Source organism: Homo sapiens, chromosome 14 (genome assembly GCF_000001405.40).
Source record: "Homo sapiens chromosome 14, GRCh38.p14 Primary Assembly".
Classification (NCBI taxonomy): Eukaryota; Metazoa; Chordata; class Mammalia; order Primates; family Hominidae; genus Homo; species Homo sapiens.
This window is the reverse complement of record NC_000014.9, coordinates 39,188,437-39,199,599: the sequence shown is the minus strand read 5'-3', so window position 1 is coordinate 39,199,599 and position 11,163 is coordinate 39,188,437.

Sequence of the window (11,163 nt, the reverse complement as noted above, 5' to 3'; positions counted from 1 at the left end):
TACAAAAAATGAGCCGGGCATGGTGGCGTGTGCCTGTAGTCCCAGCTACTCGGGAGGCTGAGGCAGGAGAATGGCATGAACCCAGGAGGCAGAGCTTGCAGTGAGCCGAGATCGTCGCCCCATTGCACTCCAGCCTGCGAGACAAAGCAAGACTCTGTCTCAAAAAAAAAAAAAAAAAAAAATTTAATATAGCATTCAATTAAATAGACCCAAGAAAATATGATAATTTGCTATATGGTTGCATTTTAATTCAGGGAGGGAGACAAAGATTATTCAATAAATTATACTGGAAGAACTAACAGCAACTTGAAAAAAAAAGTTAATTCTGACCTTTTTTTTTTTTTTTTTTTTTTGAGATGGAGTTTCACTCTCGTCATCCAGGCTAGAGTGCAATGGTGTGATCTCAGCTCACTGCAACCTCTGCCTCCTGGGTTCAAGCGATTCTCCTGCCTCAGCCTCTAGAGTTGCTGGGATTACAGGCGTGCACCACCACGCCCGGCTAATTTTGTATTTTTAGTAGAGATGGGGTTTCTCAATGTTGGTCAGGCTTGTCTCAAACTCCCAACCTCAGGTGATCCGCCCTCTTCTCAAGGTGCTGGGATTATAGGCGTGAGCCACCGTGCTTGGCCATTCTTATCTTTTTTTAAACAACTAAATAAATTTCAGATATATTAACAGTTAAATGTAAAAAAAACTACAAATGTGCTAGAAAACACATTTGACTCTTTATTAATGAAATGTAGAAGGCCAGGCGCAGTGGCTCACACCTGTAATCCCAGCACTCTGGGAGACTGAGGCAGGCGGATCACCTGAGGTCAGGAGTTCAAGACCAGCCTGGCCAACATGGTGAAACCCTGTCTCTACTAAAAATACAAAATTAGCTGGGTGTGTTGACAGGCGCCTGTAATCCCAGCTACTTGGGAGGCTGAGGCAGAAGGATTGCTTGAACCCAGGAGGCTGAGGTTGCAGTGAACGAGACTGTGCCACTGCACTCCAGCCTGGGCAACAAGATCATAATTCTGTCTCAAAACAGAAAAAAAAAAAGAAAGAAAAGTAGAAGAGTACAAAATTTCTTTATGAGCTTGCTCTTTTCAACCTCAAATAAATAAAGCTGACAAAATCCATGTTGGTAAGGATATGGGGAAAAAAAGCAACCTCCTCTATAGTCGGTAGCAGTATAAATTTATAAATTTGTATAAATTTCCAATATACTTGAAATGTCTCATTGACCCATCAATTTTACATATATGAATTTACTCTAAGGATATAATATTACACATGGGAAGAGATATATGCACTGGAATTACTTATAATATTGAAAAATTGTAGGCCGGCACGGTGGCTCACACCTGTAATCCCAGCACTTTGGGAGGCCGAGGTGGGCGGATCACCTGAGGTTGGGATTTCGAGACCAAACTGACCAACATGGGGAAACCTCGTCTCTACTAAAAATACAAAATTTGCTAAGTGTGGTGGCACATGCCTGTGATCCCAGCTACTGGGGAGGCTGAGGCAGGAGAATTGCTTGAACCCGGGAGGCGGAGGTTGCGGTGAGCCAAGATCGCGCCATTGCACTCCAGCCTGGGCAACAAGAGCAAAACTCCATCTCAAAAAAAGAAAAATTGTAAACAACTTAGAAGTCCATCTCTAAAGTATTGTTAGTTATAGAATGTCTGTTTGCTTTCAAAGGGAACAAATAACCTTGTCTTCAACAAGACAAATGTATTTTTTTTTTTTTGAGACGGAGTCTCGCTCTGTCGCCCAGGCTGGAGTGCAGTGGCGCGATCTCAGCTCACTGCAACCTCCGCCTCCCGGGTTCAAGAGATTCTCCTGCCTCAACCTCTTAAGTAGCTGGGATTACAGGTGCGCGCTACCATGCCCGGCTAATTTTTGTATTTTTAGTAGAGTCAGGGTTTCTCCATGTTGCTCAGGCTGGTCTCAAACTCCTGACCTTGTGATCCGTCTGCCTTGGCCTCCCAAAGTGCTGGGATTACAGGCGTGAGCCACCACGCCCAGCCGACAAATGTATTTTTCACACAAAATTGCAATGAGGATAGGAGGTACGATGGGTATGTTTCACAAGATCATTCAGATTCCTTCTGTCACTTTACTCCACTTTCCTCCTTTGTGTGGTCCATCCTTACCACTACCAAACACATGCTACAGTTGGTAAAAGGGAAAGAAAGTAGAGTCTGACCTGGAAGTTTCCTCATAACTTCCACTCACATCACATGATAGCCATGCCTAGCTGAATGAGCCAATGAGAAATGTAGTTTGTACACATAAGCAACATGTCTCCAGCTTGGAGACTATCTAATAATCAAAGGAAGAAGGTAAAAAATGGATTTCAAAGACTATTATCCCTTTCCATCAGCGATATCGATTAAAGTACACTACATCATTCAGTGAAAAACTCTGCAGCCATTAAAAATAAGAGACAGGCCAGGTTTGGTGGTTCACACGTGTATCCCAGCACTTTGGGAGGCCGAGTCGGGAACATCACTTGAGAACAGGAGTTAGAGACCAACCTGGGCAACATTAGAAGACTCTGTCTCTAAAAAAAATTGGTGGGGTGTAATCGTGTGTCTGTAGTCCCAGCTACTTGGGAGGCTGACGTGGGAGGATTGCTTGAGCCCAGGAATTTGAGGCTGCAGTGAGCTATGACTGTGCCACTGCACTCCAGCTTGGGTGATAAAGCAAGACCTAAAAAATATGTATTATTATACATTATGTATATGGTCACTGTTATATAAAGTTGTATTTGACAGTGAGTGAAAACTGCAACTACAAACATAGGATAATTCTATTTGAAAATTATGTGTGTTGTGAATATATATAGGTATACATGTAGGCACCAGTGTGTATGTGTTTGTATTTATGTATTAAATGTATATATTTGAAAATATAGAGTTGTCTGGGAAAATGTTCCCTAACGTATAAATGGCAGTTATTTCTGGAGAATGAGATTGAAAGTGAATGTCTATTTTACAGTTTTTCTTTTATACAAAACAATGAAAAAAAATTTTTTTGAGACAGGGTCTTGCTCTGTCACCCAGGCTGGAGTGCAGTGGTGCGATCATGGCTCACTGCTGCCTTGACCTTCTGGGCTCAAGCGATCCTCCTACCTCAGCCTCCCAGGTAGCTGGGACTTTAGGTGCGTACCACCACACCCGGCAAATTTTTTTTTTTTTTTTTTTGAGACAGGGTTTCACTATGTTGCCCACGCTAGTCTTGACTCCTGAACTCAAGCGATCAGCTTGACTTGGACTCCCAAAGTGCTGAGATTACAGACATGAGCCACCACACCCAACCGAAACATTTTTTAAAGCAAAAACATACACGATTTAAAATAAAATATCCAGAAATAACTGCTTCAAACTTGCTTTTAAGGTCAGTTTCAAAATTGCTTGAGAATAGGCTTGAGAGTAGGCCAGGCCAGGTGGCTCATGCCTGTAATCCCAGCACTTTGGGAGGCTGAGGTGGGCAGAACACTTGAGATCAGGAGTTCAAGACCAGCCTGGCCAACGTGGTGAAACCCCCGTCTCTACTAAAAACATAAAAATTAGCCAGGAGTGGGCTGGGCGCGGTGGCTCACGCCTGTAATCCCAGCACTTTGGTAGGCTGAGATGGGTGGATCATGAGGTCAGGAGTTCAAGACCAGTCTGGCCAAGATGGTGAAACCCTCTCTATTAAAACTTCAAAAATTAGCCAGGCGCAGTGGCAGGCGCTTGTAATCCCAGCTACTTGGGAGGCTGAGCCAGGAGAATCACTTGAAACTGGGCGGCAGAGTTTGCAGTGAGCCAAGATCGCGCCACTGCACTCCAGACTGGGCGACAGAGTGAGATTCCGTCTCAAAAAAAAAAAAAATTGGCCAGGAGTGGTGGCGGAAATCCCAGCTACTTGAGAGGCTGAGGCAGGAGAATCGTTTGAACCCAGGAGGCAGAGGTTGCAGTGAGCCAAGATCTTGCCATTGCACTCCAGCCCGAGAGACAGAGCAAAACTCTGTCTCCGCCCCCGCAAAAAAAATTGCCGGAGAGTAAAGGTGAAGCTCACATAATATTGGAGAAAATTTGGTTAAGCTCTGAGAGTAATTAATTAATTTAGGCAAGATGAGAAAAGTGCTCTTATTGAAAGACATTATAAAGTGATGGATTTAATATACTCAAAGACATAAGAAAACATAATTGACTCTGGGTGGTTGGGGGAAGGGAAATGAACACACTAAATAAAATTAGAGGATACTTTAATTTTTTATCACATTTTATTTATTTCACTAGATGATAAGGTTCATAAGTATTTGCTATAATTTTGGCTATTTTTTCTTGTCTGAAATATTACATAGTAAAATGTTTTAACTGGATGACAAGTAGAGATAAAGTGAATTCTGTTTGAAAAAATTACATACTAATGAATTACGACTTTGCTATGGTCTGAATATCTGTGTTTCTCCCAAATTCATATGTTGAAATTCCAACCCCCAACATGATGGTATTAGAAGGTGAATTACAAATTGTATTGACTTATTTTGCTTATTCTTTGTCATATTTAAACTTATAACTGAGAAGACATTAATTTGCAAAGAAAATACATTTTTAACAAGATACATGAAATTTTCAGTGAACTTGGAGTTAACTAGGAAAAATGCATAGTTCTAGCCAAATCTACTACAAGCAAAACTTCAAGAGTAGTAGCGGCACTGAGGCTACTGTGCACTTGAAATGTACACCCAGCTTGTGTAACATTTTCCAAGAATACCTCTCATCAAAACTTTTGCTTCTAAAGAGTTTTCTATATATATATATATATATATATATATATATATATATATTTTTTTTTTTTTTTTTTTTTTTTTTTTTTTTTTTTTTTTTGAGACGGAGTCTCTCTGTCACCCAGGCTGGAGTGCAGTGGCGCGATCTCGGCTCACTGCAGGCTCCGCCCCCCGGGGTTCACGCCATTCTCCTGCCTCAGCCTCCCGAGTAGCTGGGACTACAGGCGCCCGCTACCTCGCCCGGCTAATTTTTTGTATTTTTAGTAGAGACGGGGTTTCACTGTGTTAGCCAGGATGGTCTCGATCTCCTGACCTCGTGATCCACCCGCCTCGGCCTCCCAAAGTGCTGGGATAACAGGCGTGAGCCACCGCGCCCGGCCGAGTTTTCTATATTTTTAATTGGAGGGTTTTTTTTGTTGTTGTTGTTTTGTTTTGTTTTTTTTGAGATGTGGTCTCTGTCGCTCAGGCTGGAGTGCAGTGGCATGATCTTGGCTCACTGCAACCTCCACCTCCTGGGTCAAGTGTTTCTACCACCTCAGCCTCCCAAGTAGCTGGGGCTACAGGCTTGCACCACTACACCTGGCTAATTTTTCTATTTTTAGTAGAGATGGGGTTTCACCATGTGGGCCAGGCTGGTCTCAAACTCCTGACCTGAGGTGATCTGCCCGCCTTGTCCTCCCAAAGTGCTGGGATTAAATGGCAGATTCCATATGTGAGGAGGTGTGTACACATATATATGTAAACAAAATAAAATAACAGTGGTTTGAATATTCATTGAGGGGAAACACGTGCAATTCTATGACATAAATTAATTAACTAGAAAATTTATATAAAGAAATTATACAGAATTCAGAATAGAGAGACATAAAAATGTGAAAGATAGATTCAAAAATACTTAGAACAGGTCGGGCACGGTGGCTCACGCCTGTAATCCCAGCACTTTGGGAGGCCGAGGTGGGCGGATCACGAGGTCAGGAGATTGAGACCATCCTGGCTAACACGGTGAAACCTCGTCTCTACTAAAAATACAAAAAATTAGCCAGGCGTGGCGGCGGGCGCCTGTAGGCCCAGCTACTCGGGAGGCTGAGGCAGGAGAATGATGTGAACTCGGGAGGCGGAGCTTGCAGTGAGCTGAGATTGTGCCACTGCACTCCAGCCTGGGCGACGAGTGAGACTCTGTCTCAAAAAAAAAAAAAAAGAAAGAAAGAAAAAATACTTAGAACAGATTGAGGTATAACATGTCTAAGCTGAATTCAAGGAGAAAAGAGAGAATGGGACACAAGCAATATTTGAAGAGATGTTGGTTAAGAATGTAAGCCCCATGAGGGCAGAATTTTTTTTCCCCAATACTGTATCCCTAATCCTAGACTAAAGCCTGATATATAAGTACTTAATAAATATTTGTTGAATTATGTTGGATTCTATTTCCAGTAATATGAGAAACTATACACTTACATAAACCATCCCACTGAAAACATTCAAAACTGGGTAAAATGTAAAAATAAAATCTTCTTAAAATTATTTCTGAGATCCCAAGGAAACTTTTGTCAAATTAGAGGCAGAAGATGAGATAAAGGAGCCTTTGCAGAAACAAATTTGTGTGTATTTTTAAATAAAACCTGAACCTTCAAAAAACAAAGAAGTTTTGTGGTTGAGCTCATCCTTTTACTCCATTTGGGGGGCATTTTTTCCTCTATAAGAGGTATTTTGGAGAACAAGTTGAAACAGCACTAGTTATGGCAAGTACATTAAAATCTTTCAAAGGCCACACTATATCCTCTACTCTCTTCTCCCCCACCCTCCACCCACAACTTAAAAAAAAAAACAAACAAATCCTCCATTGAAATTTCCCCCCTTCTTCATGAAAAAATCTGCAGTAACAGGAAAAGGGGATAGCTGGAATAATAATCTTTTTATTTGTTTATGTTGAAGAATAAGGTTTTGTTTTGAGACAGGGTTTTGCTCTGTTGCCCAGGCTGGAGTACTGTGGCACAATCACCATTCACTGCAGCCTTGAATTCCCAAGTTCCAGTGATCCTCCCACCTCAGCCTCCCAAATAGCTGGGACTACATACAGGAGTGCACCACCACAACCAGCTTTTTTTTTTTTTTTTTTTTAATTTTTGTAGAGAAGTTGTCTCGCTATGTTGCCCAGGCTAGTCCTGAGCTCCTGGTCTCAAGTGATCCTCCAGCCTCAGCTTCCCAAAGCGCAGGCATTACAGGTATGAGCCACTGCATCTGGCCTAAACGTCTTGCTGTCTGGTAGAGAAAGTCTTCACTTTGTTCTTCAAGATTGTTTTAGTTCTTTACGTTTTCTGTTCCTATACACATTTTAGAAACAGCTTGTCCATTTTCTCATACCTCACCTCCCTCTTCCTACACACACTGCTGAAATCTATACTGGAATTATATGGAATCTGAAGAACAACTTGATGAATATTAACATCTTTATTATAGTGAATCTTCTAAGGATTGAGCCTGGTACATTCTTCTACCTATTTCTTTTAAAAATTGTCTCAATCTTTTATGGTCTTCTGCGTAGACAGTTTTCATTTTTCCTTTCCAATCTTCCTCCCATCTATTTCATCTTCTTGCCTTATTGCACTAAGATGGTTCATCCAGTAAAATGTTGAATACATGCAGGAATACTGGATATCTTATTTTGTTCCCAATCTCAAGGGGAAAGTGTTCAATATTACACCATTGTGTATCCTCTTCATATATGGCTGGACTTAATCTTCTAATATTTTGTGTAAGATTTTTACATATATATGTGAGATTACCATGTAAATTTCCCTTTCTTGTGATATATTTGTGACCTGCTTTCAGGGTCATATACGCCTCATTAAATGAGCTAAGAATTGATTCCTTTTCCTCTATTCTCTGGAATTTGTATGAATTGATAAAATTAGTTAATGAAATCTTCTGGACTGGAGTATTTCATCTACTCCCTGCCTTCATCTCCCTTCAGGGAAAAGGTTTGAATTACCTTCAAAGGAGACTGTCATGTGGCTTCTCAACACAAACAATGGAATGCAGAAAACAGATAATTAAAACAATAATTCAAATTGCAGAAAGAAAATACTCACCAATAGAACTCCAAACTGAACAAATATATCCTTCAGAAAGGTAGGTGAAGTAATTTTATGACAAACAAAAACTGAGATAATATCACCAGAAGATCCACACTAATGGAAATTCTAAAAGATGTTCTTCAGGCTAAGAAAATGTGGCATGTATAAGCAATGGAATACTATTCAGGCATAAAAAGAGAATAAAATCCTGTCAACTGCAACAACATTGATGAGCCTGGAGAACATTACATTAAATGAAATAAGCCAAGAATAGAAAGACAAAAAACACATGACTTCATTCACTCATATGTTGAATCTAAACAAAACTGATCTCATAGAAGTTGAGAATAGAATAGTAGTTACCAGAGACTGGGGAGAATAGGAGGAGGGGGTAAATGGAAGAACGTTGGTCAATGCGTACAATGTTACAGTTAAACAGGACTAAGTTCTGACACTCTATTGCACAGTAGGGTGACTATAGCTAAAAATAACATATTGTTTTGTTTTTTGCTTTTTGAGACAGGGTATCACTCTGTCACCCAGACTGGAGTGCAATGGCACAATCTCGGCTCACTGCACCTCTGCTTCCTGGGCTCAAGCGATCCTCTCACCCCAGCCTCCTGAGTAGTTGGGACGACAGGTGCATGCCACCATGCCTGTCTAATTTGTGTGTGTTTTGTAGAGCTGGGGTTTTTCCCAGTTGCCCAGGCTGCATAGTATATTTCAAATAGCTAGAAGAAAGGATTTGAATGTTCTTACAATAAATAAATCATAAGTGGCCGGGTGTGATGGTTCACGCCTGTAATCCCAACACTTTGGGAGCCTCAAGCCCAGGAGGTCGAGGCTGCAGCAAGCCGAGATTGCACCACTACATTCCAGCCTGGGCAACAGAGCAAGATCCACAGATGTAAGAAGGTATGAAAAGCAATGTTAAAAAGCGGTATTCAATAAATAAATACTGAATGTTGTATAAATCAATAATAATGTATTGTGAAGCTTAAAATATAAGTAGACAAACTACATAGAAAAAGTACCATAAATGGACTAAAATGTTCTAAGGGTCTTGCATCATGTATGGATGTGTGTTGTAAATTCTAGGAAAACTGAAAACCACTGAAACAACTGTAAAAGAATGCAGAAGTATCAATTTAACAGAGGGAGATAACAGATTAATAATTATTCATCCAGTTCAAAGGAAGAAAAGAAAAACACAAAATAGGCAAAACAAAAAAAAAGGCGGGGTTGAGGGCAATTAGCCAGGGCTCGGTAGCTCACGCCTCTAATCTCAACCCTTTGGGAGGAAGAAGCGGATGGATCTATTTAACTGGGTCGCTTGAGCTCAGGAGTTTGAGACCAGCCTGGCCAACATGGCGAAACCCTGTCTCTACCAAAAATACAAAAAATTAGCTAGGTGTGATGGTGCAGGCCTGTGGTCCCAGCTACTTAGGAGGCTGAGGCAGAAGAATCACTTGAGCCCGGGAGGTGGAGACTGCAGTGAGCTGAGATTGTACCACTGCACTCCAACCTGGGTGACAATGAGACTCCCGTCTCAAAAAAAAAAAAAAAAGCAATTAGTAAAATGCTAGATTTAAACCTAAACGTGCCAATAAACTTAAGCAGACTGCCAAGACAAAGGCTGTCCTAATTTTTTTTTAAACCTACTTATAAGACACATTGTTAATAAAAGGATTACAGAAAGCTTGAAAGTAAAAGGATAGGAAAAGATAAACCATACCAACATTATCCCAAAGAAAGGTTAAGTAGCTATACTAATGGCAGGCAAAGTAGACTTTAAGACAAAAGCCTTGTTTGGAATACAGATATCTGAAAATTCCAAAAGGATTAATTCATAAGGAAGATAAAGCAATTTTAAATGTATATGCACCTACTATAATAGCCTCAAAATATGTAAAATAAAAATAGAAAGGAGAGGCCGGGTGTGGTGGCTCACATTTGTAATCCCAGCACTTTGGGAGGCCAAGGCGGGTGGATCACGAGGTCAGGAGTTCGAGGCCAGTCTGGCCAACACAGTGAAACCCGTCTCTACTAAAAATATAAAAATTAGCTGGGCATGGTGGCAGGTGCCTGTAATCCCAGCTACTCGGGAGGCTTAGGCAGGAGAATAGCTTGAGCCCAGGAGGCGGAGGTTGCAGTGAGCCAAGATGGTGCCACTGCTCTCCAGCCTGGGTGACAGAACAGAACTAGGCTCCATCTCAAAAAAAAAAAAAGAAAGGAGAAAGATAAATCCACAAATCACAGTGGAAGATTTTAACATACTTCCCTTGGTATGTGATAAAACAAGCCCACAAAGACTTGGTAAGGATATAAAAGATTTAAATAATACAAGTAATAAAATTGACCTAATTGGCACAAGCTAAACTGCATATGATAGCTAAAGAATCAACTTTTTTTTCAGGGCCACATGCCTATAGTTTCTAAACTTAATCATATGCAGGGCCCAATAGCAACTCTCAACAAATTTTAAGTGATTGAAACTATACAGAGAATGCTCTTTAATGAAAGTGGAATTAAGCCAGAAATAGATAATAAAAAGATAATTAGAAATTCCCATACATTTGGGATTTGGTTTTCAAAAGTTTTATTATGATGTGCCCATGTGGTTTTTTTAAAAATTACTTATTTTTTTGAGATCCGGTCTCATTCTGTCACCCAGGCTGGAGTGCAGTGGCACAATCACAGCTCACCACAGCCTCAACCTCCCAGGCTCAGGTGATCCTCCCACCTCCACCTCCGGAGTAGCTAGGACTACAGGTGCCCGCCACCATGCCCAGCTAATTTTTGTATTCTTCGTAGAGGCAGGTTTCGCCATGTTGCCCAGGCTGGTCTTGAACCCCTGGGGCTCAAGTGATCTGCCCACCTCAGCCCCTCAAAGTGCTAGGATTACAGGCATGTGATTCACCACACTTGGCCAGTTGTGGTTTTATATTGAGAAATAAAAATAAAATTCTAAGTCCCCAACTGAATGGACCCCCTCTTAGCCAAGGGGACCCCAAAGAAACCTGGGAAACAGTTCATAGCTATGACGGGATGAGAGGTCCAACATGCCTCATTATACCTACTCCCTCACCAAATGCCATTAGGCTTTCCTCCCCAAGGGCTAACCAGAAAGCAGCCCTTTCAAGACTCCACATTGATAATGTCGATTACTAGCTTATCTCCCCAGGGAGAGAACAAAGACAAGATTAATCAGTCCTTCACCTCTCTGCTTCCTCTATTCCTATTTCTTCAAATGTTCACCTTACCTTATGTAAAATGTAGATTTGCTGGGCACTAACTAAAGTCTCATAAGTCTGTAATCAT